A 27,341-nucleotide genomic window follows, 5' to 3' on the forward strand; every position below is an offset into this window, starting at 1 on the left:
AAGGTCTCCTGATGGGCTGAACCAGCCCCATTGAGAAATACTGCCTTAGAACGCTGTGGGTTCAGCATGCCACCTTAATCTTTTCATTGAAAACACAACTCCTGGCCGGGCGCAGTGGCTCAGCCTGTAATCCCAGCACTTTGGGAGGCCGAGGCGAGCAGATCATTTAAGGTCAGGAGATTGAGACCAGCCTGGCCAACATGGCGAAACCCTGTCTCTACTAAAAAATACAAAAATTAGCCAGGAATGGTGACACACACCTGTAATCCCAGCTACTAGGGAGGCTGAGGCAGGGGAATCACTTGTAACCCAGGAGACAGAGGTTGCAGTGAGCCAAGATAGCACCACTGCACTCCAGCCTGGGTGACAGAGCAAGACTCCATCTCAGAAGGAAAAAAGAAAAAAAAAGAAAGAAAACACAACTCCTCTCCTCAGTCTTACCCAAGGAGGGGAAAAAAAAAAAAAAAAAAAGAAAAGAAAAGAAAACACAACTCCAAGGACCAACAATTAGTATTTTTCTTCCTTCCCTAATACACAACATAATCTCTTTAAAACAGATGGAACTCATATTCCAGTATCTACCCTTGGCATCTTCTCAAAGTATTTCTAGGGTGACAGTTGGGAGAAAATGGAAAAAAAAAATTTGGACACAAGCTCTTTTTTCCACTGGGCTTTGAGAAAATCCCCATCTTGCGTGCTCCTAGTGTATCTCTCACTGATAAGTTTGCTCATAAAACCAGGGCCTTATCCAGGGCCACGCTTACAGAACTCCCACGGACACACCATGATTAGGACCCTGCTGCTGTCCACTTTGGTGGCTGGAGGTAAGTCCTGTCACCCAGAGGCACTGGTTTCCCATCCCCTGGTGGGGCTGGAAATGGGATCTTCCTGTCCTCCCCTCTCGCCCCCACCCAACCCCTACTGCATTCAGACCTATAATCATAAGAAAACCGAAATGGAGTTTCAAAGAATTGGAGCAAACAGAAGGATTTTATGACCTCTTGGGATCCTTCTAGAACAAGGGTTTTCTATTTGGGGGTTCAGAATGCAGCATGTATAGTTTACATTGTGTGGGTCGCTGCTTCCTGGACTCAAGACCCTTTCTCTTTTCACAGCCCTCAGTTGTGGGGTCTCCACTTACGCGCCTGATATGTCTAGGATGCTTGGAGGTGAAGAAGCGAGGCCCAACAGCTGGCCCTGGCAGGTGAGTTGACCACACTGTACTTCTCCCCGTCCCTGCCCCACTCCCTTTACATCCCCCCTTTGCCCTTCCACCATGGCGTCTATTGTGCTGGCAAAGTTAGGATTGATGGGATTCAGAGAGCAGCACAGGAAACTTCACCAACAAGATACATTTCCAGCTGGGCACAGTGGCTCATGCCTGTTATCCCAGCACTTTGGAAGGTCGTGGTGGGCAGATTACCTGAAGTCAGAAGTTTGAGCCCAGCCTGGCCAACATGGTGAAACCCCGTCTCTACTAATAATAAAAAATTAGCCAAGCACAGTGGCACACGCCTGTAATCCCAGCATCTCGGGAGGCTGAGGCAGGAGAAAGACTTGAACCTGAGAGGCAGAAGTTGTAGTGAGCTGAGATCGCACCACTACACTCCGGCCTGAATAACAAAGAGAGACTCCATCTCAAAAAAAAGAAAAAGATACATTTCTGTGGCCTTGGCCAACCTTGGGAGTGAAGGGAGAGGTGCCTCCTCCAGCTGCAGTAAAGAGCTGTCCCCTCCCCACTGCCCATAAACAAATTTACAACTATAGTCTTACTCTGTTAACCAATCAGAGGCTTTCTTTCAAATGTACCATTATCCTATGAACCATTCAAGACTACCTATGCAAATATTCCTTGCTTTAAGGAACCAATCAGTGCTATTCATGCAGATTCATCTTTAACTACAGGCAAATCAATGTTACCAAGGAAAATAAATGTTTCTTAAGTTGATATAATAGTGATATTAAGACTAAACTGCCGAGTGGGGCACAGGCACAAATTACTAAGACGTGTTAACGGTGGGAATTTCAAAAGAAATGTGTAAAGTTTACATTGACGCAAACAAATATAGTAAAATCTCATTTATCTGATATAATTGGGACTGACTAAATGAAAAGTTGGTTATAAAGAAATTATTTTAAATCATATATGCTGTAAACATTTTATTTTAGACTATGTAAACAATTTTTTGAGTTCTTAACTGTCTTTTTCATATAAACCATGCCCCATAATATCTCATCTACAAGTCCATTTCTTTAAAGCAGAGCAATAACTTTGAGATATTCATAAAGCAATCTGAGTTACGAGCCCATCCCGACTTTTACGACTTTTCCCCCCAATCTTTCTGTTTCCTCAAAGACACTAATTCAAGAGCAATTTTTTAGGAATCATGGTATTCAGTCTCTTCCAAGCATTTAACTTTGTTTCACAACTCTCTTTCTGAACTCATATTTCATTGGTTACATATTTAATCAAATTTCACTATTGCAAACATAATTGATATAAACTGCTTTAGGAGCAAACCCAGCTGAACCAGGATGAGTTTCTAATTTAAGTAGAAGGAGCAACTAGCAGCCCACTAGCCTTGAGCATTCAGAGTGACCTATGCAGCAGTCACTGTGTTTAGAGAGGCCAGCGTTCATTCATCTGCTCTTTGATTAAGAGACTGTCCATGATAGGCCAGGCGTGGTGGCTCAGGCCTGTAATCCCAGCACTTTGGGAGGCCAAGGTGGGTGAATCACTTGAGGTCAGCAGTTCAAGACCAGCCTGGACATGGTGAAACTCTGCCTCTACTAAAAATACAAAAATTAGCCAGGCATGATTGCGGGCACCTGTAATACCAGCTACTTGGGAGGCTGAGGCATATATATATATATATTGGGATATATAGTTTGTTTGTTTGTTTGTTTTTGTTTTTTGGTTAGACAGAGTTTTGCTCTTGTTGCCCAGGCTGGAGTGCAATGGTACAATCTCAGCTCACCACAACTTCTGCCTCCCAGGTTCAAGTGATTCTCCTGCCTCAGCCTCTGTAGTAGCTGGGATTACAGGCACGCACCACCATGCCCGGCTAATTTTGTATTTTTAGTAGAGACAGGGTTTCTCCATGTTGGTCAGGCTGGTCTCTAACTCCCGACCTCAGGTAATCCACCTGCCTCGGCCTCCCAAAGTGCTGGGATTATAGGTGTGAACCACCACACCCAGCCAAGAGGAATAATATTTTAATGCATTTTTTTTTTTTTTTTTGGAGGCAGAGTCTTACTCTGTCACCCAGGCTGGAGTGCAGTGGCGCAGTCTCAGCTAACTGCAACCTCAGCCTTTCAGGTTCAAGCAATTCTCCTGCCTCAGCCTCCTGAGTACCTAGAATTAGAGATGTGTGCCACCACACCAGCAAATTTTTTTTGTATTTTAGTAGAGACGGGGTTTCACCATGTTGGCCAGGCTTGTCTCAAACTCCTGACCTCAGGTGATCCACCTGCCTCGGCCTTCCAAAGTGCTGAGCTTACAGGTGTGAGCCATCCTGCCCAGCCAGCTATTGTAATTACAGTTATTAATCACCCTGAGAGCCCTGCACCGTGGCTTATGTTCCCCATTTCCAGAGAAGGTAACTGGGACTTGGAAAGGTTACAGAATTACCCAAAGGCACTGGGTTAGCCCGGGGGGGAATGAGGATTCAAATCTGGTTCAGTGCTTGTTCTTTTAGCTACACTTTGCTGGCCACAAATAATACGTATTACGTGGACGAAATTTCCCATCTGTAGGATGGTTTCAGCACATTTTTAAATTGGGGTGGGGGAGTAGATACTTTTCAGTGTCTTTTTTCACTTGGTCCAATTTTAAGCATCTTTTTAAAAGCCAGTTCATCTAAGGCCCCTTAATGTCACAAAAACGAGAAATGCCCAGTGGCTAATTAAAAACAAGGACGTGGCCAGGCACAGTGGCTCACGCATGTAATCCCAACACTTTGGGAGGCTGAGGCAGGTGGATCACCTGAGGTCAGGAGTTGGAGACCAGCCTGGCCAACATGGTGAAACCCCGTCTCTATTAAAAGTAAAAAAAATCAGCAGGGCATGGTGGCAGGCACCTGTAATCCCAGCTAGTGGGGAGGCTGAGGCAGGAGAATGGCTTGAACCTGGGAGGCAGAGGTTGCAATGAGCCAATATCGTGCCACTGCACTCCAGCCTGGGCGACAGAGGGAGACTCCATCTCAAAAAATAAAATAAATAAAGTGGAAGAGACAATAAACAACTGAATAGGTAAACTAATAACACGCCGGAAAACGAAAGATACTATGAAGAGTAAAGCAGAGTAAGGGGAAAGAGACAAGTGTGTCTGTGTGTGCATATGTACATGAGCGTGCACGCATGTGTGTGTGCACATTGTTTGGGATAGCGTGGTCACAGAAGGCCTCATGGAGAAGGCAACCTTGAGCAGAGACTGACAGGAAGTGAAGGAAAGAGCTACGCCGATATTTGCAAGAATATTCCAGGGAGGAGGAAGAGCCAGTGCAAAGGCCCTGAGGCAGAAGCGGGTTTGGTGTATGTGCAGAACTGCATGGAAGTCAGTGTGGCTGGAGGAGAGGAGAGTGGGAGCCTATGGGGTCAGAGAGGCCACGGAGAGCCTAGCAGGTCATCAGACAGTTTTAAGTTTTGCAAACTGTAAAGGGGGAGCCACTGGAGAGTCTGAGCAGAGAAGAGAAGTCATCTGACTTCCATTCAAAAAGGATCAGTCTGGCTGCTGTGTTGAGAAAATGTGGGTGGGAATGGGGAGAAGAGATGGGAGACTAGAATGATCATCGAGAAGAGAGGGTGATTGCGACACACAGTTGAGGTAGTGACCAAAGGGTAGCAACCACTCCACAAATTCTCAAGGTAGAGCTGACAGGACATCCCCTGTGGAGACGGCCTCACTCTGTCACCCAGGCTGAGCACAGTGCAATCGCAGCTCACTGCAAGCTAGACTTCCCAGGATCAAGCAATCCTCCCATCTCAGCCTCCTGAGTAGCTGGGACTACAGGCATGCACCACCACACCCAGTGGCTAATTTTGGGGTATTTTTCTGTAGAGACGGTGTATTAATCCGTTCTCACACTGCTAACAAAGACATACCTGAGACTGGGTAATTTATAAAGGAAAGAGGTTTAATTGACTCACAGCTCAGCATGGCTGGGGAGGCCTCAGGAAACTTACAATCATGGCAGAAGGGGAAGGAAACACATCCTTCTTCACACGGTGGCAGCAGGGAGAAGTGCCAAGCAAAAGGGGGAAAGGCCCATTATAAAACCATCAGATATCATGAGAACTCACTCAGTATCACAAAAATAGCATGGGGTAACCACCCTCATGATTCAATTACCTCTCAGCAGGTCCCTCCCCCTACCTATGGGGATTATGGGAACTATAATTCAGGATGAGATTTGGGTGGGGACACAGCCAAACCATATCAGACGGGGTTTCACCACGTTGCCCAGGCTGGTCTCAAACTCCTGGGCTCAACCCATCCTCCTGCCTTGGCCTCCCAAAGTGTTCTGATTACAGGCATGAGCCACCATGCCTGGCCTGATTTTTTTTTTTTTTACTATAGATTGCATTAAAATGTTTTTTATCTTCATGGCTGAGGTTTTGGGTGCCCCCTTAAGTTGTGTACCTGAGGTGAGTGCCTCACTCCCCCTTACCCTTGTCCCAGCCCCGTTCTTGGGAAACTGGAGTGCAGGGAGGCCCTGCTTTTTCAGCCACAGCCACAGACCTGTGTTTCTCCCCAGGTCTCCCTGCAGTACAGCTCCAATGGCCAGTGGTACCACACCTGCGGAGGGTCCCTGATAGCCAACAGCTGGGTCCTGACGGCTGCCCACTGCATCAGGTAACTGCCATTCCCTGGGCGCTTGGCCTGCTCACCAGCCGGTGCTCATTTCTGAGCTGGGGGCTCAAATGGCCTGAACCACACTACATGAAGTAACCTTGCAAATAACCACTAGCCTGGCCGAGACACAAGCTGTAGTCAATCAATGGTTCAGTGTGTTGGCCCACCCATGGGTCATTTCATGGCATGGATGGAGTGTCTGTGCCAGGCAGGCACTGAGGGAGGATGAAGAGGAGGGGAAGGCCCAATCTCTGCCCTCTTGGGGAAACTACATGTGGCCTCAGTGTCTGGAATTGGGTTCCCTTGAACAACTTAACTGACTTCTCAAAGCTTCAATACCATCACCTGCAGAAAATGGAGTAACAGAATTTAGTGTGGACTCAGCAATTGATTTGCTAAAGTGCCTGGCACTTATTAAGTGCTCAATGAAAGCTAATTCTGAATTGCAGACAAATTATAAAGGCCCACAAGGTTCTGCAACGTTGTTCACTTATCCTCTTCTTTGTCCGTGACCTCTGCTCATCACAGCTGGAACTCACCGGAGTTTCTGCCGGGTCAGTGTGACTCCCTACCAGGAGTGATCCCTTCTCCCATCCGACTTATAATAAGCTCTAGGAGGTGATGGGGATACTAATAGAGGCCTACAGTCAGGAGTCCTGGCTTCTAGTTCTGATTTCTCACTAACGGTGGGACTCCGGACCAGTTACTCCTCTCTGGGCCTCAGTTTCCCCATCTGAAAATAAAAGGTTGAAAATTTCCTTGAGGGCAAATGACTCCTGTTTTCTCTGTGTTCATCTCATTCCTCCATAATACTATAGAGTTTGTGCTATTACAACATTAATTTTAAATTGTAGTTTATAGTTAGTATAGTAACAATTATTATATGATCATAGTTCTTACATTATATACTTTAGGCCCTATGATAACTAACTGACTGTCCCAGGGGAGGAAAGATCCCCAAGTGCCAACTAGTGGCTCATGAAGCAGCCAGTTACTTGGGTCTATCCCTAGCATTATTCAAAGCCAGGCCTCTGGAGGTGACCCTCTCCCTGGGACCCCTTTCTCCCAGCTCCTCCGGGATCTACCGCGTGATGCTGGGCCAGCATAACCTCTACGTTGCAGAGTCCGGCTCGCTGGCCGTCAGTGTCTCTAAGATTGTGGTGCACAAGGACTGGAACTCCGACCAGGTCTCCAAAGGGTTCGTTTCTATCTGGGTGCACTTGGGGGTGAGGTTGTCAGGGAACAGATGGGGGTCTCACAGAGGCAAAGGTCTCAACCCCACCACACCCCCTCTGCTTTTTCTATAGGGAAGAGAAAGGAGCTCTGGCCTATTAGATGTGGAACCGGCTCCAAAGATGTCTGGGGTGGGGATGTGACCTGGGGAGGGTGAAGCAAAGACTGCCAGAGCGACCTGGGTTTGCTGCCAGTTAAGCCTGCAGGGCCCCTGTCCGCTGAGTGTGTATCTACTTCATGCCAAGTCCTGGGGACACAGAGACAGTGCTGTCGACCCTGTGACTGTCCCTGGAGTAGGACACAATCTCTCCTGCCTTCCCCCTTTCAACAAAGCCCTCCGCATTTTCTTTTTTCTTTTCCTTTTTCTTTTTTTGTGAGATGGAGTCTCGCTCTGTCACCCAGGCTGTAGTGCAGTAGCACAATCTCAGCTCCCTGCAAGCTCCGCCTCCTGGGTTCACACCGTTCTCCTGCCTCAGCCTCCAGAGTAGCTGGGACTACAAGTGCCCACCACCACAGGCCCGGCTAATCTTTTGTATTTTTAGTAGAGACGGAGTTTCACTGTGTTAGCCAGGATGGTCTCGATCTCCTGACCTCATGATCCACTCGCCTCGGCCTCCCAAAGTGCTGGCATTACAGGCTGGCATTACAGGCTGGCATTACAGGCCACCGTGACTGGCCGACCCTCTACATTTTCAAACATGCCCTGTGGGCCCTGCCGGTCAGAGCAACCTGGGGTAACGTACAGGGAAGATGACAAGGTCTCCAAGCCCTCCAAAGCCCCATAGGGCAGGAAAAGTCAACCCTGTTCTCATGCTCCGCCTCCGCACTCACCCAGGAACGACATTGCCCTGCTCAAACTGGCTAACCCCGTCTCCCTCACCGACAAGATCCAGCTGGCCTGCCTCCCTCCTGCCGGCACCATTCTACCCAACAACTACCCCTGCTACGTCACGGGCTGGGGAAGGCTGCAGAGTAAGTGGGAGCCAGGAGCCCCCAGGCCTGGGAGGGAAGGGAGGTGATGTCACCCCTGTCCGGCCAGGGCCTCTCACCTCACATGTTATCCTGGGCATGTGGCTGCCTTGGAGAGACAGGATGGCATAGGCTGATGTCTGCCTGGGTTCAAATGTCAGCTCTCCCACTTAATGACTGTGACACCTTGGACACATTACTAGGTCTCTCCAAGCTGCACTTTTCTCATATGTAAAATGCAAATAATTGGCTGGGCGCGGTGGCTCACGCCTGTAATCCCGGCACTTTGGGAGGCCGAGACGAGCAGATCACTTGAGGTCATGAGTTTGAGAGCAGCCTGGCCAACATGGTGAAACCCCGTCTGTACTAAAAATATAAAAAACTCGCCAGGTGTGGTGTTGTGCGCCTGTAGTCCGAGCTACTTGGGAGCCTGAGGCACAAGAATCATTTCAATCTAGGAGGCGGAGGTTGCAGTGAGCCAAGATTGCGCTGCTGCACTCCAGCCAGGGGGATAGAGCGAGACTCCATCTCCAAAAAAAAAAAAGGCATAATAATACCACCTACATCACAGAGTTGTCAAGAGGATTAAAGGAGATAATCCACAGGAAGCCTGGCATGTGGTAGGTGCTGTGTGTTAGTTGTTGTCACTGTCCCTATGATGGAAAGAAAGTTACAGAGATCATGTGACATCTTCTGTGTGGCCCAAGGCTAGAGTTCAGAACAGCATTTCCTCTGTGACCTGAGGTCTCTGGAGCTCCACAAAGGCCCCTGGAGCCCTCATCAGACCCTCCATGCCCCATAGCAAAAGCTGTCCCCTGTGCCATTTGGTCTTGCTACTGAGAACCCGGCTGAGGGTGGGTCTTCTTTGACATAGACTCCAAGGGTCAGAGATCCAATGACAGTAGCCACCAAGAGGAACAGAGTTCCCGCCCTTCCCTTGTGAAAACACCAGAGGTTTGGAAGATTCTAGGAAGGGATGAGTGATAATGACCTTATGACCGTAATGACATTATTAGTGATGATGACATTATGACATTTTTTCCTAATGACATAAACCCATAAGTATAATGACATGTTTTTCCAGGGGTACATCCACATACGTACCCTCAAATAAATTCCCATTGCCCTCTTGACTGGCTTATCTGTAAACACAAGGACACATCAAATCCTGCGGTGAGTGGTGGTGGAAGAGGCATTTCATGCTTATTAAGATACAAGCACAACCACCTGTTTGTTTCCCCAGCCAACCCTGGGGCAGGTGCATTTCATCTGAGACAGTGAGAGTGGGGAGGCCTCCAAATGCTTGGCTTTTCGGCCCAGCTCTGTCGGTCACGGTGAAACCTTGGGCAAGCCACTTCCGAACCTCAGTTTCCTCATCTGTAAAATGGAAACACTGTTGGTGAAGACTAAAAGAGGTGAAAGGTGGAAATGCATCACACATTGCAAAATGTTACACAAGTGTTAATTACTTATTAATTAGAATGGTCTTAAGCAAAAAGCTTGATTTTTTTTTTTTTTGAGACAGAGTCTTGCTCTGTCGCCCAGGCTGGAGTGCAGTGGCACAATCTCTGCTCACTGCAACCTCTGCCTCCCACATTCAACCGATTCTCCTGCCTCAGCCTCCTGAGCAGCTGGGATTACAGGCATGTGCACCACGCCCAGCTAATTTCTATATTTTACTAGAGACGGGGTTTCACCATGTTGGCCAAGCTGGTCTCGAACTCCTGACCTCAAGTGATCCGCCTGCCTTGGCGTCCTAAACTGCTGGGATTACAGGGTGAGCTACCATGCCTGGCCGACGCTTAACTTCCCTTGGCTTCAATAGCAAGTGAAAAATTATGTTAATCTCATCCTTGCCACTCATAGCTGTGGTAACAGTAATGGAGGTGATGGTGGCTGTGTCATTGGGGGCCATTATGAAAGCCCTCCCTTCACCACACCCAAGGAGGGGGCTCTAACTGCCAGGAGGCTCACTTTCTTATTTCAGATAAGTGACAGAAAGCCATGGAGCTAGCTCAGCAAAAAAAGGGAAATTGTTATAAGGATTTAAAAGTTTCAACCCAAGGGCAGAGATATAGCCAGGCATCAGGAAGAGACTAGAATCAGGGGCTGGAAGCCTGTGAGAAACTCAGGAAACACTCACTGAGAAATTTCTTTCTTTGTGGGTCTACTTCATTCTTCTGCACATAGAAGAAAATGTCAGCCATTGACAACAGCTTCCAAGATTTGCATCCTCTGGAACCGGAATCTCTTAGTCCCCATCTCAAAATCTCAGGGGAGGGAGTTCATTGGCTTAGCTTGAGTTAGGTGTTCACTGCTGAACCAATCACCAGTGGCCAGCACACTAACCAATCAAATGTGAGGACACAGTATAGACAAACATGGCTGTTCCCATGTTGCAATGGATGGAAGATGGTAACAGGGGAAATCCAGTAGGGGTCCACCACTTCCTTTTTCTCAGGAGTCCCTGCGTCCCTAATGGCTTCTCTCTGGTCTCATTCAGCCAACGGGGCTCTCCCTGATGACCTGAAGCAGGGCCAGTTGCTGGTTGTGGACTATGCCACCTGCTCCAGCTCTGGCTGGTGGGGCAGCACCGTGAAGACGAATATGATCTGTGCTGGGGGTGATGGCGTGATATGCACCTGCAACGTGAGTACCAAAAATCAGGGGCCCCGCTCCATGACAAAATGTGGCTGGGGATGGGAAGAGGCTATGGAAAACCATCCCTCCATAGGTCCATCCTCCGACCTCCTGGCAGAAGCACCCGGAAATGGTACCAGATATATCAGAACCTGACCTTTGGCCAGGCATAGTGGCTCATGCCTGTAATCCCAGCACTTTGGGAGGCCGAGGTGGGTGGATGCCTTGAGGTCAGCAGTTCGAGACCAGCCTGGCCAACATGGTGAAATCCTGTCTCTACTAAAAATAAAAATTAGCCAGGCATGGTGGTGGGTGCCTGTAGTCACAGCTACTTGGGAGGCTGAGGCAGGAGAATCACTTGAACCCAGAAGGCGGAGGTTGCAGTGAGCTGAGATGATGCCACTGCACTCCAGCCTGGGTGACAGAGTGAAACTCAAAAAAAAACCTGACCTTGTTCTTGTTTGTTCTTGTTTTGAGATGTTTTGAGATTCTCCTTGTAGTGTCCACCCATCTCACTGCTGGGAAGTCCTTCCCTGGGTCTCATCAAGGTCTCTCGTGACTGTCCTTCTGTATCCTTTCCTCTACGCTGGAAGGGAACCAAAGGAAAGTATTCCCTGGCTTAAGGCCTTTCTAAGATGACTTCTGGTTTTTCTGTTGAATTACTCTCATCAATGGCGCAGTGTGTCCCCTCCAGGTAGCTGTCACGGAAACCTTCCTGGAGACAGTGTCTTAACCACCAGGAATTGCTCTGTGTTGGACTTAGCAGTGAAGTGGGGATGGAGTAGGAAGGAGATCCACACGCCCTTCAGATCACACTGTGCCCTACACACTCTGCCCACATAGACCACCTGCGGGAAGACAGAACCAGTGGGGAAGAGCCTGGCAGCTGAAGTCTGGGATGTGGCCTCAGCTCCTTTACAAACTGCCTGTGCAACCTTGGGCAAGTCCCAACCTCTCAACACTCCAGTTTCTCCTCTTCCGTGGCCTGGGGATACTACGAATATTTACCTCATAGGATTTTGTGAGGATTAATGAGATGAGGCATAGAACATGCTTAGCTCAGCTCTAAGGAAGAATAAGTGTTGGCTCTTGTTGGAATTATGGTACCACCTTGAGCTATGACCACAAGGACCAGCTTCAGAGGACAGTGACCTGCAGCAGAACAATAGAAATGCATTGAGAACAATGGTTCCAATGGGCAGCCCCTTCCTCCCACTTCAACTCCCTATAACTCTGGCCTTCCTCAGGGAGACTCCGGTGGGCCGCTGAACTGTCAGGCATCTGACGGCCGGTGGGAGGTGCATGGCATCGGCAGCCTCACGTCGGTCCTTGGTTGCAACTACTACTACAAGCCCTCCATCTTCACGCGGGTCTCCAACTACAACGACTGGATCAATTCGGTAAGAACCGGAGCAGCCCTGAGCCCCAAGGCACTGACCTGCTCACCTGGCCTCGGGAGTGCCATGCCCACCTGGCGACTGAGAACCCCCTCCTTCCTCTTGAGAGCTAGATGGGAACCCCTTGGAGGAGGCTGCAGACCTTGGCAACTGCTGAGTCCCCCATGGGTCCCCAAAATTTCTGTGTGGGTAAAGCTGAGTGAAAAGGAACATGAGAGTATGGCCTTGTCCAAAGACGTTGGACACTCCTCAGGTACGTTAAGAGTGAGTTCCACAGGAATGATTTTATTTTTGTGTATTTGTGTGTGGCCCAGACTCTACCATCCAGTGCTATAAATGGGTATATGTCTGCAAAACCCAAAACCTGATACTTTGAGACCCCCATAGCATTAATTATTGGAAATTAGTCCCCCTCAAGGGTCCTCCAGCTATTCTGTAGGGTGACCAACCATCCCAGTTTGCCCAGGACTGAGAGGTTTTCCAGGATGCGGGACTTCCTGTTTTACACTGGGACCATCCCAGGCAAATAAAGCTGAGTTGGTCCCCGTCTTGTAAATGTAAACTCAGAGAGCTGTCTCCTGTGAGCTTCCACACTAGCTCAAATTCTTTTTAACAATGAACACACATTTTTTATAACAATAAGCATTAAAAATATTTATTAAAAATAATAGGCCAGGTGCCATGGCTCATGCCTGTAATCGCAGCACTTTGGGAGGCCAAGGAAGGAGGATTGCTTGAGCCCAGGAGTTCAAGAGCAGCCTGGGCAACATAGCGAGACTCTGTCTTTACAAAGATTTTTTTTTTTAATTAGCCATGGTGGTGCATGCCTGTAGTCTCAGCTGCTTGGGAGGCTGAGGTGGAAGGATCGCTTTGGCCCAAGAGGTGGAGCCTACAGTAAGCCAAGGTCGCACCACTGCACTGCAGCCTGAGCGACATAGCAAGACCCTGTCTCTGAAAATAATGATAATAATAGTTGGCATAAATATTAAGGAGCAGCCATGGATACACACAGAAGTAGATGAAAGCAGCCAGAAGAGGAAACCCCGTCACAAGAAAGGGGAGCCCAGGAGAGGGCAGAGGAGACACCATGCCTGGTAATAGAAGCTGGGGGAGAAGAGGCGGATACTTTGTGCCAATTAGGGACCACCTGTTTGCTCTTCTGTAAAGTGGGACTTGAACTAGACCTCCACATTTTTAGGCACTAGAGCAAGAGGGAGTTATGGTATTCGTGGCAGAGCCCCCAAAGAAGGGGAAAGCTGACATCTGACTTCACTAAGTTTAATTTGCAGAGAAGTGTTAAATTGAATTAAACTGACACTTATAAAACCAAATATGAAACTGCAGCCATAAGCACGTGGTCAGGGGAGAAAACTAAACTGTCAAAATAAGCAGGTGGCTGCTTCCAAGTGTTCCCATTGATTCTTGCCAGCTCCTTGTTCATTTGTCTGTCTGCTGGCATCCTTTTGCCAACAAGTGGTCATAGGCAGAAATTCCAAAAAAGTTTGTTGGAAAAAAATGGAAAATCAAAAAGACAGTAGCCATTAATCATTAATTGGGGCTTTTTATATCTAAATTGGGAAAAACCCATCTGAGTCCACCTTTGGAGGCACCACGCACGTCAAAGGAGCCTGGCCTGAGACTGACTGGACGAAAGGCTGCTTAGGGGCCTTTCCCAGCCAAATCCTAAGACCGTTTTCCAGCCCCAGCTGCTGTGGGAGTCACCGTGCAGCTGGTCCTGGCAGCATCCTGGGGACCTGAAGCAGGGGCAGGGGCAATTGTCCCGATCTGTTGTCCCAGCATCAGCTGTTCCCAGCATCAGCTGTTCCCAGCCACAGACACAAGCACAACAGAACAGGCCAGATCCCAAAGCATGGCCAGATGGCAGCAGGGATCCACGGGGCAGCACGCCTCCCGAGGCAGCTGGGCAGAGGCCCTGTGTTCATGGGAGAGCAGTCGGGACAGGCACAGATGCCCGGTAACGGGTTTCAGAAGGGGGAGAGCCAAGCAACCAGCTGTCCTTGGGTGGGGGCTGCCCCTGGCAGCGGCAGAGGGGCTAGTGAAACCTTGAAGTGGCCCCAACCCAGGGACACAGTGTGTGCAGCCTGGAGTCACGTACCACTAGAGCCCTGGGGGTGACTGAGAGCACCTGCCTGGATAAACCCAGACAGGTGACAAGCCAAGGTCAGGAAGTACAAGCAAAAGATAAGAGCAGAGAAGCAGAGGAGACAAGTGGCCTGCGGCATTCATCCTTTCAACAAATGTCAGTTGAATGACAGTCACACATGAACTCCAGCAATCCTTAGTTTTTATTCTTTTTCCAGAAGGTAATACATACTCTTTGTAAAAATATTAAAAGAATACAGGAGAGTATCAAGTAAAAAAGTAGAAGTCCCCCCTCATTTTACATCTCCAATTCCACTCTCCAGAGGTAATCATTGTTTTTGTTTTGTTTTTTTTCAAATGGAGTCTCGCTCTGTTGCACAGGCTGGAGTACAGTGGCTTGATCTCAGCTCACTGCAACCTGCGCCTCCCGGGTTCAAGCAATTCTCCTGCCTCAGCCTCCTAACTAGCTGGGATTACAGGCATGCACCACCATGCCCAACTAATTTTTGTATTTTTAGTAGAGATGGGGTTTCACCATGTTGGCCAGGCTGGTCTCAAACTCCTGACCTCAGGTGATCTGCCCACCTCAGCCTCCCAATGTGCTGGGATTACAAGCGTGAGCCACTTCGCCCTGCCAATCATTGTTAAAAGCTTGGTGTGTGGTCTTCTCAACTTTATGTGCATATCTATCTATCTATCTATCTATCTATCTATCTATCTATATACACACACACACACATAGACACTGTCTTCTAAGCAAAAACTAGGATCTGAGTCTTCATACTGTTCTGCAGCTATTTTTCACTTAACACCTTATCACATTTTACATGTCAGTACATACATGTCATTCTTTTGAACAGCTAAATAGTATTCCATAGTTTGAGTGTAATGAATGCAGCTTTCATGTTTCCTATTTTTCACTCTTACATTGTGCAATGAACATCCTTGGACATAATTCTTGCACACTTGAGTATTTGTGCTGTAGCAGCTGGATATCCTGCCGTTTACAGCACTGGATCATGAAGTTGGCATATCAAAATGTTTAACAGGCTGGGCGCGGTGGCTCACGCCTGTAATCCGAGCACTTTGGGAAGCCGAGACGGGTAGATCACTTGAGGTCAGCAGTTCGAGACCAGCCTGGCCAACATGGTGAAACCCTGTCTCTACTAAAAATGCAAAAAAATCAGCCAGGCATGGTGGTGCACACCTGTAATATCAGCTACTCGGGAGGCTAAGGCAGGAGAATCGCTTGAACCTGGGAGGCAGAGGTTGCAGTGAGCCTAGAATATGCCACTGTACTCGTCTGGGCAACAGAGCAAGACTGTCTCAAAAAAAAAAAAAAAAAGTTTAACAGATACTGATCAACAGCCTCTGGAAACAGTTATAGCCCCAACCACAGTGCATAACTGCCTTGCAAACAGCAGTTTTGATGAGAAACAAATGAAATCTAAAAATATGCCATCCGCACATTTGGCATATAATTTTTAGGGGGTTCGAAGGCCCCCTGACCTGAAGCCCACACAGGACTCCTGGCTAAGACCCCCTTTACAGGAAGACCCTAACAGGTCAATGAAAAGCTGTGATTGCATCTTTTTCTCCGAAACATCATCTGAACTCCTCAGGCAGGAGCTACTGTAGTGTGGGCTGCCTGTGACTCACTTGAGTAGCTTAGCCCAGGAGGACAGAGACAGGAAACTGCCACGCACAGCTCTGTGGTTACGTGAACCTGACAATTTTCTTGTGTGTGTGTCCTGCAGGTGATTGCAAATAACTAACCAAAAGAAGTCCCTGGGACTGTTTCAGACTTGGAAAGGTCACAGAAGGAAAATAATATTATATAAAGTGACAACTATGCAAATCACATCTTGATGAGGGTTTTATTATTATTATTAATTCAGAAATCCATCCTAACATCCAGGGCCCTAAGAACCAGAAATAGGTCAGGCGCAATGGCTCAAGCCTGTAACCCCTGCACTTTGGGAGGCTAAGGCAGGCTGATCGCTTGAGTCCAGGAGTTCAAGACCAGCCTGAGTAACATGGCATAACTCTGTCTCTACTAAAAATACAAAAATTAACTGGGAGAGGTGGTGCACACCTGTAGTCCAAGCTACTCAGGTGGCTGAGGTGGAAGGATCTCTTGAGCCCAGGAGGTCGAGACTGCAATAAGCCAAGATTGCGTCATTGCACTCCAGCCTGGGCGACAGAGTGAGACCCTATCTCCAAAAAAAAAGGCCCAAAAAACAAGAAATAGGCTGGCATAAGGACAGCTTAAAAGACCTCAGGGTGGAGCCTTGTGGGGAAGCCCAGCGTGTCACTATTGCACAGCACGTTCACACTGCAGTCCGGGGGTGCTTCAGCAAGTAAGGCACATGGGAAGCATGGCTAGGACTCAGGGGACCCAGGTTCTGGCCAGGTCTCTTCTCTGGATAATCGTTTTCCCTTGGACAAGAGACCTAACCTCCCTGAGCACAGGGTTCTCACCCTTGTTGCCTTCCTGGGATGGGATAAGGATCAAGTGAAATAAGACATGAATAAATGGGGCTGGGTGCAATGGTGCACGCCTGTAGTAAGAGCTACTTGGGAGGGTCACTTGAGCCCAGGAGTTTGAGACCAGCCTGGGCAACATAGCGAGACCCCAGAAAAACATGGGGAAATGTTTCGAAAAAAGCAAAAGTCTCTTTTGTAAGGAAGAAGAAAGAGTTGGAGCAAAATGAGGGAAGAAATAGGCAAAAGAGAGTCCATATTTGCCTCAGATTTATTTTTTAAAATTAATGCAATATAGGAAAAATTAACAATTTTTAAAATTTCACTTAGAATTCATAGATTACAGCTGTTCAGACTCTAGTAGGCCCCGGTTTGCTGATCTATGAGCGATACTGGTTTGTGTGTAGCCAAAAATCCCTACAGACCAGTGGTTGTCAGGCGAGGAAAGTTTTATACCCCAGGACATATTTGGCAACACCTGAGAACCTTTTTGTTTGGCACCACTCAGGAAGACGCGTTACTGGCATTGAGGCAAGGGACAGTGCTGAACATCCCACAATGTACAGGACAGCCTCACAGCAAAGGGTGACCTGGCCCCACATGTCAGTAGTGCAGAGGTTAATCCCTGCTCTAGAGACAACACAGGGATCATGGGACACAAGTCACTAGCCCTGGACCAGCCACTGCTCAAGAGGCCACGTGCAATCCACGGCATTCATCTGTCCCTCTTCCTCCACTGTTCAGCACTTGTCGTCAATCTGGAAGCTGCTAAGAGCCTGTCTGTCACTGGCAGAGAAAGAGCAGACCCTGTGCCGGCTGCAAAGTCCTTGAGTTGCAGGAAAGTCCAGGCCTCAGCCTCTTTCAGGCCTGGGGCAGGAAAGCTTTGGGGTGCAAGATAAGGCAGGGTGAGGGGCCCTGGCCTTATGATGTTTTAAAGAAAAGTTTTTTCCGGAGGAAATTAAAGCAACCAGGCATCTGTTTATAAATCCCTTTCACCGAAACAGCATTAGCGACCTGTAAGACATGACCATGGAGAGCTCTGTGAGTTCAGTTCTCTGGACTGAAGGAAGAATTCAAGAGGGGCTGGGGGGAATGTCCACTCAACCCGCACCTTAAAAACAGCTCAAACTGCAGCCTCTTTGAGCAGGAGGGCTTAAAGAATACGCACCTCAACTTTACCTTTAAAAAACTCAAAATTCAAAATTTCCAAATTCATAAAGTTCAAATCAGACTGAAATATTTGCAAGGAGCCAGGAGTGGCCCCAGCCTCGCAGCCCCTTCTCGTGGCATGAATACCTGAGCAGAGCAGCTGGGGCCCATACATGCTGCCTCCCAAGGCAGCCACAAGGCCACAGGACCCTCAGAGGAAGCAACTGCTCTGAGTCGGGTTTCTATGGAGTAGGACTGGGCCTATCAGGCCACCCTTCCCTATCTGTTTCCTCACTGGGGCCTCCTGAGAAGGCGATGTACAAGGAGGGGTTCACAATTCTTGAGGGTCAAGAGTAGAAGACTACATGATGCCCACAGGATATAGGGAGGGGCCCATGACCCGCCTTCAGGGTCTGGACAGAGCCATCCTGCGCTGGCACTGAGGACCAGCTCCATCAGTGGAGGAGCGGGAGGTGTCAACCTGGGGACCTTGGAGGAGACAGGGAAGGCAACTCTTTGAATAAAGGGCAAACGTCACCACAGGCAGGATGCCTCTCATAAAGAGACACAAAAGTGCCGACTCCAAGGCTCAGAGGCAGGAGTCTACTACCTTTTACCCTTGGTTTGGGCCTGCCCTGCTCACCCCAAATCCCCAGCCCCAGGAGGACACGCTGCCCCTCAGCAGCCTCCCCTCTCCTTTGCAGAGGAAGGCAGCACTCACCCTAAGCAGGAGGGACTGCAGGTCTTCAGAGTGAGCCCACTGCTCAAAGATGTCGTCCAGGGTCTCAACGTACCAGGAGCCACTCTTGGGGTCCCTCCAGGAAACAAAACCTTTGGAGGGAGGAGGGCTGAACACTGCTGGAGAGCCACCCCTCCGCCGGCTCCCCACCACCCCTCTGGCCATGCACGCTGGCTCGGGCGCCCTCCAGACCTTGACTCATACATACATCCAACAGGAGCAGCCTGGCCCCTGAGGCTCTGCCCTAATCATGATCTTATTTCACCCTCATGACCATCCCCTGATTCCGGCTATAATTCCTGTTTTCCCAGCAAGGAAACCAAGGCTTGGAAAAGTCAAGTGACTCATCCAAGACATAAGAAAGGAAGGAAACTGCCAGGCACAGTGGCTCACACCTGTAATCCCAGCATTTTGGAAGGCCGAGGTGGGCAAATCACTTGAGGTCAGGAATTCTTGACCAGCCTGGCCAACATGGTGAAACCCTGTGTCTACTAAAAATACAAAAATTAGCTGGGTGTGGTGATGCATGCCTGTAATCCCAGCTACTTAGGAGGCTAAGGCAGGAGAATTACTTCAACCCGGGAGGTGGAGGTTGCAGTGAGCTGAGATCATGCTACTGAACTCCAGCCTGGGCGACAAAGCAAGACTCCGTCTCAAAAAAAAAAAAAAAAAGGCTGGGCGCGGTGGCTCACGCCTGTAATCCCAGCACTTTGGGAAGCCGAGGCAGGTGGATCACGAGGTCAGGAGATCGAGACCATCGTGGCTAACACGGTGAAACCCCATCTCTACTAAAAATACAAAAAATTAGCCAGGCGTGGTGGCAGGTGCTTGTAGTCCCAGCTACTTGGGAGGCTGAGGCAGGAGAATGGTGTGAACCCGGGATGCAGAGCTTGCAGTGACCCAAGATCGCGCCACTGCACTCCAGCCTGGGCAACAGAGCGAGATTCCATCTCAAAAAAAAAAAAAAAAAAAAAAAAGAAGGAAGGAAACTACCGCTTGCTGCAACTACTACGTGCCCCGCACTGTGCTCAGTGACGTGCCAGCCACCTTGTTTAATTCCCATGGAAACCCCTGAGGCACGATTCCTATTCCCCTGCTAAAGATGCGAAGGCAGAGGCAGGGTCAGGCAGAGGAGAGGCAAGTGAGGCATAGGAACCCAAGGGCGCAGGCCTCCTTGCAGCGCGCATCCTTGCCCGCTCAGCCTGAGCCGAGGCTCAGAGAGAAGTAACTTGCTCAGGGTCACAGAGGGGCAAAAGACAGAACCAGGACTCATACCCTGGTCTTTTCTCTCACCACACAGCTGCCTCTAGGGCAGACGGGAAGACCCACTGGCTGCGAGGACGAGCCCTTCTGATGTGCTCACCTGGGAAAGTAGAGTAGGACACAAAGATGTCACTGGGTGTGGGCAAACTAGATATGGCGTCCAGCTGGTCGAAGGTCCTCAAACCTTCCTGGAACGGGGTGGCATCTGGCTCGGGGTTACTGCCAGGGGACTCGTCTTCAGGGGAAGTGGAGGCCACCTCAAACCCATGGTCTTTCTGCTCTGCAGGAAGCAGAAACAAACACCTCTTGTCATTGAAATACACAGACAAGGATGGTTCAACATATGAAAGTCGGTGCAATATACTACATTAACAGTGTGAAAGGAAAATAAATCTTGGGACCCCAAACTCATTAAGCCAAACGGAAAAGTCAAGCTGGGAACTGGGTCACGCAAACCTGCCTCCCCGTTTTGGTTCCTAAATAAGATGGCTACAAGATGAAAAGCTACACACCTCTCCCATATTTTGCCCACAAGGAAATTCCTGGTGAGCTCCAAGATAGTTGTCTGATAAAATTCACCACGGCAATGTAAATGGATAGCTTATCTTTACAGAGGCATCACCCCTCTGCCCACCTGGCACAAATGCATATCTGATTATTCCCCTGCCCCATTTGTCTTTGTTATCTTACGTAAAAATGCAGGTTCCCTGCATTTTCCCCTGCCCTATGTTACCTTACGTAAAAATGCAAATTCACTGAGCCAGACAAATGCTTGAATGACTATTTCCCCCTACCCTGCTCTTACCTGAAAACTGTGTACTTCTCAATATCCTGCCCTTTCCCCTTTAAATTTGGAACCCTAAAATTCATGTTCAGAGAAAGGCATAGACCTGTCTCCTGGGCGTGCATCCTTAACTTTGGCAAAAGAAACTTCTTAAATTGACTGAGACCTGTCTCAGATTTTTGGGGTTCATAAGAGAATGAAAAAAACCCTACATCATCATCTCAATTGATGCAGAAAAAAGCACATGACAAAATTCAACAAGCTTTCATGATAAAAACAGTCAACAAACTCAGAATAGAAGGAAACTACCTCAACATAGTAAAAGCCATATATGAAAAACCCACAGCAAACATTATACTCAATGGTGAAAGACTGAAACCTTTTTCTATAAGATCAGGAAGAAGGCAAGAATTTCTGCTTTTGCCACTTCTATTCAACACATTACTAGAAGTTAATAGAGCAAGGAGGCAAGAAAAAGAAATAAAAGACATTCAAATTGGAAAGAAGGAGTAAAATTATCTCTACTCACAAATGGTATGATTTTATATGCAGAAAACCCTAAAGATGAAACACTATTAGAACAAATAAAATTAGCATATTAGCAGGATACGAAGCCAACCACAAAAAATACTTCCATTTCTATACACTAACAATGAACAATCAGAAAAAGAAATTACAAAAATGGTTCCATTGACAATAGCATCAAAAATAATAAAATAGTTAGAAATTAACTTAACCAAGATGAAAGACTTGTAAAATGAAAACTACAAAACATTGCTGAAAGAAAGAAGGCTGGATGCCATGGCTCACGCCTGTAATCTCAACACTTTGGGAGGCTGAGGCAGGAGGATCCCTTGAGCCCAGGAGTTCCAGACCAGCAAAACCTCATCTCTACACATAATAAAAAATTTAGCCAGGTGTGGTGGCATGTGCCTGTGGTCCCAGCTACTCGTGAGGCTGAGGTGGGAGAACCACTTGAGTCCAAGCAGTTGAGGCTGCAGTGTGCAGTGATCGCGCCACTGCACTTCAGCCTGGGTGACAAAGCAAGACCCAGTCTCAAAAAAGAAAAAGAGCCGGGCACAGTGGCTCACACCTGTAATCCCAGCACTTTGGGAGGCCAAGGCAGGCAGATCACCTGAGGTCAGGAGTTTGAAACAAGCCTGGCCAACATGGTAAAACCCCGTCTCTATTAAAAAATACAAAAATTACCCAGGCGTGGTGGTGGGCACCTGTAATCCCAGCTACTTGGGAGGCTGAGGCAGGAAAATCACTTGAATCCAGGAGGCGGAGGTTGCAGTGAGTCAAGATCGTGCCATTGCACTCCAGCCTGGGCAACAGAGCAGGACTCCATCTAAAAAAAAAAAAAAAAAAGAAAGAAAGAAAGAAAGAAAAATAAAGAAGACATAGGCCAGGCACAGTGGCTCACGCCTGTAATCCCAGCACTTTGGGAGACCGAGGCTGGTGGATCACTAGGTCAGGAGATTGAGACCATCCTAGCCAACATGGTGAAACCCCGTCTCTACTAAAAATATAAAAATTAGCTGGGCGTGGTGGCGTGTGCCTGTAATCCCAGCTACTCAGGAGGCTGAAGCAGGAGAATTGCTTGAACCAGGGAGTCAGAGGTTGCAGTGAGCCGAGATGGCGCCACAGTCCTCCAGTCTGACAACAGAGCGAGACTCTGTCTCAAGAAAAAAAAAAAAAAGATATAAATAAATGGAAATATATCCTATGTTCATGGATTAGAAAACTTAAAGATCTCAATACTACCCAAAGCAATCCATAGATTAAATGTAATCCCTATCAAAACCCCAATGATGTTTTTTGCAGAAATAGAAAATCTATCCTAAAATTCACACGAGAATCTCAAGGGACCCCAAATAGACAAAACAATCTGGAAAAAGAGCAAAATTGGAGGACTCACACTTCCTGATTTCAAAACTTACTACAAAGCTACAGTAATCAAAACAGTATGGTACTGGCATAAAGACAGACATAGGTCAATGTCATTGAATAGAGCCCAGACATACACCCTCACATGCGTGGTCAAATGAATTTTGAAAAGGGTGGCAGGACCATTCAGTGGGGAGAGGGCAGTGGTTTTTTGTTTTGTTTTGGGGGATTGTTTTTTGTTTTTGTTTTTGTTTTTTGAGAGAGTCTCATTCTGTCACCCAGGCTGGAGTGCAGTGGTGCAATCACAGCTCACTGCAGCCTTGACCTGCCAGGCTCAAGTGATCCCCCACCTCAGCCTCTCAAGTAGCTGGGACTACAGGTGCCACCACACCCAGTTAATTTTTGTATTTTTTGTAGAGACAGGATCTTGCCATGTTGCCCGGGCTGGTCTCAAACTCCTGGGCTCAAGCAATCTGCCTGCCTTGGCCTCCCAAAGTGCTGGGATTACAGGCATTTTTTTTTTTAAGAGACACACTTTTGCTCTGTTGCCCAGATTGAAGTGGCATGATCTTAACTCGCTCCAGCCTCAAACTCCTGAGCTCAAGCAATCACCCCAAAAAAATGGTTAAGATAGTAAATTTTATGTTATATGTATTTTGCCACAATTTTTAAAAAGACATAAAACTTGTCTTTTTTTAGAAATATAGTTGAGGAAACTGTCCACTATATCATAGGCACTCACTCAAACCCTTTACTCAGGCTGTCAAGATCACAGTGTCCCCTTTAAGACAACCAAGGGAAGAAATGTGTCTGGAGTCTCTATTCCTGACTTCTGTCTTGCAAATACCAGATATAGAACTATAGAACACCAGATTCCATGGATCTTGAAAGTGATCTTTTTTTTTTTTTTTTTTTTTTTTTGAGACAGAGTCTCGCTCTGTCATCCAGGCTGGAATGCAGTGGCGCGATGGCTCACTGCAAGCTTCGCCTCCTGGGTTCAAGCGATTCTCCTGTCTCAGCCTCCCAAGTAGCTGGGACTACAGGCGTGTGCCACCACACCTGGCTAATTATTTGTAGAGATGGGGCTTCACTGTGTTAGCCAGGATGGTCTTGATCTCCTGACCTCGTGATCTGCCCGCCTCAGCCTCCCAAAGTGCTGGGATGACAGGCGTGAGCCACCGCCCCTGGCCAATGATCTTATTTCCAATGGCGGCTGGAAAGCGTAAAAAATGCGCAGGCCACCTCTAGCAAGTAGCTATCAGTATTCCATTTTATGTAATTAGGCAACTGAGACTGAGATAAGTTAAGGGGTTTCCCCCCAGACAGAGGCTGACTGGGACTTTGACCTACCTCATTTTTGAGTCTACTATTACCAATGGCTGGGATTTTTCCATGTTTCTTTACATCTGCAAAGTGATTTTATCTCTAAAATCAGTCGTTGTATACCTTAAATTTTTAATTCACTTGTACATTAGAGAACTGTAGAAAGCTGCAGGACATCCTAGGATGTATTTTTGGAATCCAAACTTTTACTTTTCTTCTCTCCTTGTGTTCCCTCTCTATTTTGTCCTAGTGTTATCATTTGTACTTCTTGCACTATGGCAAATCCTTTTCTAGAATCAAAGAAGCCATCAGAAAAATACCAAATAGACACCAAGTCATGGATAATGAAATCCATGGAGATGTTTACACCTTCTAATCCAGTAATTTCCTAAGAAAATAATTCAAATGCAGTCAAAAGCTTTCTATATGAAGACACCTGTGGTTGTGTGAGCCAAAAATTAGATATCACCTAAATGGCCGACATTAGGAAAATGGTTTAGTAAATTAGTGCATGTCATGAAAATGGCCCATTATAAAGCCATTTGAGCTAGTGATGATGAAGGCCATGGAGATCTGGGGAACTGCTTAAGGGATAACGTTAGCTGAGAAAAGCAGACTGTGCTCATGGGCTGGAATCCAAAAGGAAGATGCAAAAATGAGATGGCTGTATTAGCTTATAACATTCTGAATTATTTTCTTTTTTAGGTTGCCATATTTTTTGTCTTTTCCATTTTAAAATCTAGACTCCCCAAAGGCAGTGCCAAGCTTGGAAAACAGAGAGGTCCTGGCAGGACTTGTGCCCCACATGGCTCAGCTACAGAGCTACTGAAGTGGAGACACTGACGGAGGTCTTCCGGGATGAGGTCTTCTGCAGTAGGGCTCATGGTGGGTGGGGTAAGGCGGAGCACAGAGGGCTACTCAGGAAAGAAGGCATCTAACAAGAGCTTTGGTTAAAAAATATAAATATATATTTAACTATGTATACATACTGCAGAAAAAAAAAGAGAAATTTTTTTAAAAATAGGCTGAAGTTGGAGTAGGAGTGATCCAGAGGGTCCCCTGCAAAAACACTCCTGGAGAATGTGACTGTGATCCAGGCCCTGATGCCATCAGGGAGAACGGTCCTGGTGAGAGAGACAGCAAGTGCTGTGGCCGCAACGCAGGCAGGTTTGCATGGCTGGATCTATGTGACTGAGGGAAGTCACAGTTCACCCAGAGGAGCTGGGGGCCCATCTGGCAGGAACAGAGGTGGCTCTGGCAACCCCATAATAGTAACACCAAAATCTATTGACCTCTTACCCCACACAGCTAAAGCTCAGAAACCACTGGTCATTGGCATTCTCCCAGCTGATATGAGGGGCGCGGAATTCTGCCCCATGTTTTTTGCCTCTCAACTATCCCACTGCTTCTCACGGAGGCCCCCAGCCTCCAAAGGGGGGCCTCTTTGATCTGTGACAGCCATGTTTTTCTCCAGATTTTGTGGTTCATTGCTTCTGGTTGTTTTCTTGGTAGAGACTCCGGAATCTGCCCCAGGTGTCTGGGAATGACGTGAAACAGCACAGCAAGGAGGCCTGAGGCGTGAATGTGATGGTGCTGGGTCTGCCTGGCAGCCTGTGGGGGCGGAGGGATGCCTAAGTGGGGGATGCCGTTAAGAATGGCCAGAAGAGACAGGGTGAGCAGAGAGGCTGAGAAGAGACAGCAGATCAGAGCAGGGGGTGTGGGGGAAAGGAAAGAGGGGGTCAGGCGGGGCGCTAAGGCAGCTCCGTTCACGTGTCAGCCTCAGCCCACAAATCTGATGTGAAGGCCTTGCCTAGGGTGTTCTGCACTGTATGCATGGCTTGGTTCTTGGAGAGCCTCGGTTCTTAGAGAGCCTCATTAATGCAAAACTCCCCGTAGGGCAGGACTCATTCCCCACAAGAATAAATATACAGTAGGAGGAGATGTTCCCTCCGCACAGAAAATCCACGACCACTGCAGCATATTGTCATTGCTTTCTGTCTTCTCAGCCCGATCTCTCAAATCCCAAAGAGGGGTCACCCCAAAATTGACGGCTCAGCCTCAGAGAGGTGGCTACTTGGTTGCCTATCACGCTGACGTTGCACACCAAAGTTATCGACTTTAATGCACATTTTTCAGCCCTGGTGCTGTTACCTCCTAATGAATGGGTGGATGACATGTTGGAGGGTTTTAAAATTATTATTTAAAAATGATTTTTAAATTATTTATTATTATATTTAAATTAATTATTAAATGATTTTTAAATTAAATATTTTTAAAGTATTATAGTGAGTTATAAAATAGCAATACAAGAGTCCTCAAAACCCAGGACAGGTGTTCTGATGCATGTAAACAGACCCCTCGCCAGGCACTAGTGAAGAACGGGGACCTTTCTATTTCTGCTCTCAGCTGACGTGGCGCCACCATGTGGTAACTGCGTTAAGCACCAGGTCACGCAGCCTGCGGAGGCAAAGCAAGGACCCGACTCCAAAGGGATATCTTAATCACTGCATGCTGGCTTTGAAATCTTGCTGTTTTCTGTGAGTTTTGTTTTAATGATGGAAATCTACATTATGCCAAATTTGGCTCATATTTTTTTTTTATTTTTTATTTTTTTAGAGACAGGTGACAGACTGGCTCTGTCACTCAGGCCGGAGTGCAATAGTGTAAACATGGCTCACTGTAGCCTCGACCTCCAGGGCTCAAGCGATCTTCCTGCCTAAACATCCCAAGTAGCTGGGACCATAGGCACACACCACCAGGCCTGGCTAATGTTTTAAATTTTATGATAGAGACTGGTCTCAAACTCCTCGTCTCAAGAGATCCTCCCACCTTGGCCTCCCAAACTGTTGGGATTACAGGCGTGAACCACCACAGATGCTTTTGTATGGTTCTCCTTTACATTCAAATTAGAATCCACATGAGACGCAACCAGACTGTGGGCTCTGTGCCAGGCTGGGGGCCTGGCTGCAGGGTAGGCCTGGCCCTCCCCTCAGAGCTGACCAGGGGATAAGCCCATCTCAATACAATGAGACAGTGCTATGGTAGGGGAGGGACAGAGGCTGCAGGAGCACAAAGGCCAGCTAACCCTGACTTTGGCCAAGAAAGGGGGTGTTTAGGGAAGTGACAATAAATTGTAACCAGAAGGATGGATGATTAAGAGTCAGCCAGGTGCCAGGCACGGTGGCTCATGCCTGTTATCCCAGCACTTTGGGAGGCGGAGGTGGGAGTATCACTTGAACCCAACAGTTCAAGACTAGCCTGGGCAATATAGTGAGACCCCCATCTCTAAAACAAAATAAGTAAAAATGAATTTTAAAAAAAGAGTTAGCCAGGGGAGCAGGTAGAAGAGCAAGCAAGAGCCTGGACATCCTGGGAAGGCTGGGCCGTGCTGGGGACTCGGAGCATGCCAGGCTGGGGAAGGTGAAGTGGCAGGGGCCAGGTCACCAAAGGCCTTGGAAGCCCTGCTACTGAGTCCTAAGAGTGACAGCAGATATTCACGTGACAAAGGCCCTC

At 47.8% G+C, this 27,341-nt stretch overlaps 2 protein-coding genes across 10 annotated transcripts in view, besides 3 other annotated features; one reads left to right on the forward strand and one right to left on the reverse strand.

Moving 5' to 3' along the window:
* The first annotated feature begins 762 nt into the window (after positions 1–762).
* Positions 763–16,054, forward strand: CELA2B (chymotrypsin like elastase 2B). The gene is made up of 8 exons (NM_015849.3): positions 763–824; positions 1,116–1,204; positions 5,757–5,854; positions 6,924–7,052; positions 7,923–8,059; positions 10,560–10,705; positions 11,944–12,096; positions 15,954–16,054. The coding sequence occupies exons 1-8, from the start codon at positions 785–787 to the stop codon at positions 15,969–15,971; spliced, it is 810 nt and encodes a 269-aa protein (NP_056933.3). The 5' UTR covers positions 763–784; the 3' UTR covers positions 15,972–16,054.
* Positions 7,506–8,006: an enhancer, noted in NCBI's record as "H3K4me1 hESC enhancer chr1:15809342-15809842 (GRCh37/hg19 assembly coordinates)". NCBI's record gives its function as "activates a minimal SCP1, AML or CMV promoter by ChIP-STARR-seq in naive H9 embryonic stem cells {active_cell/tissue: H9 hESC(naive)}" and the evidence as "EXISTENCE:reporter gene assay evidence [ECO:0000049][PMID:30033119]".
* Positions 8,007–8,507: an enhancer, noted in NCBI's record as "H3K4me1 hESC enhancer chr1:15809843-15810343 (GRCh37/hg19 assembly coordinates)". NCBI's record gives its function as "activates a minimal SCP1, AML or CMV promoter by ChIP-STARR-seq in naive H9 embryonic stem cells {active_cell/tissue: H9 hESC(naive)}" and the evidence as "EXISTENCE:reporter gene assay evidence [ECO:0000049][PMID:30033119]".
* The window catches only part of CASP9 (caspase 9), a 33,512-nt gene continuing 22,230 nt past the window's right edge, over positions 16,060–27,341 (reverse strand). For 7 of the 9 annotated variants that reach the window (NR_102733.2, NR_102732.2, XM_005246014.3 and 4 more), the window contains 3 exons: positions 19,932–20,111; positions 18,551–18,660; positions 16,060–17,694 (listed from right to left, as the gene is read on the reverse strand). Coding sequence is in view for 6 of the 9 variants with exons in the window: in XM_005246014.3 (XP_005246071.1) it covers positions 17,602–17,694; positions 18,551–18,660; positions 19,932–20,111 (383 nt within the window). In the remaining 3 variants the exon portion in view is untranslated. Of the gene's footprint in view, positions 18,661–19,931; positions 20,112–27,341 lie in introns of all 9 variants that reach the window. The other 2 variants (XM_011542273.4, XR_007064158.1) reach the window with 2 other exon arrangements.
* Positions 24,966–25,466: an enhancer, noted in NCBI's record as "H3K4me1 hESC enhancer chr1:15826802-15827302 (GRCh37/hg19 assembly coordinates)". NCBI's record gives its function as "activates a minimal SCP1, AML or CMV promoter by ChIP-STARR-seq in naive H9 embryonic stem cells {active_cell/tissue: H9 hESC(naive)}" and the evidence as "EXISTENCE:reporter gene assay evidence [ECO:0000049][PMID:30033119]".

This window comes from Homo sapiens, chromosome 1, assembly GCF_000001405.40.
Source record: "Homo sapiens chromosome 1, GRCh38.p14 Primary Assembly".
Taxonomy (NCBI): domain Eukaryota; kingdom Metazoa; phylum Chordata; class Mammalia; order Primates; family Hominidae; genus Homo; species Homo sapiens.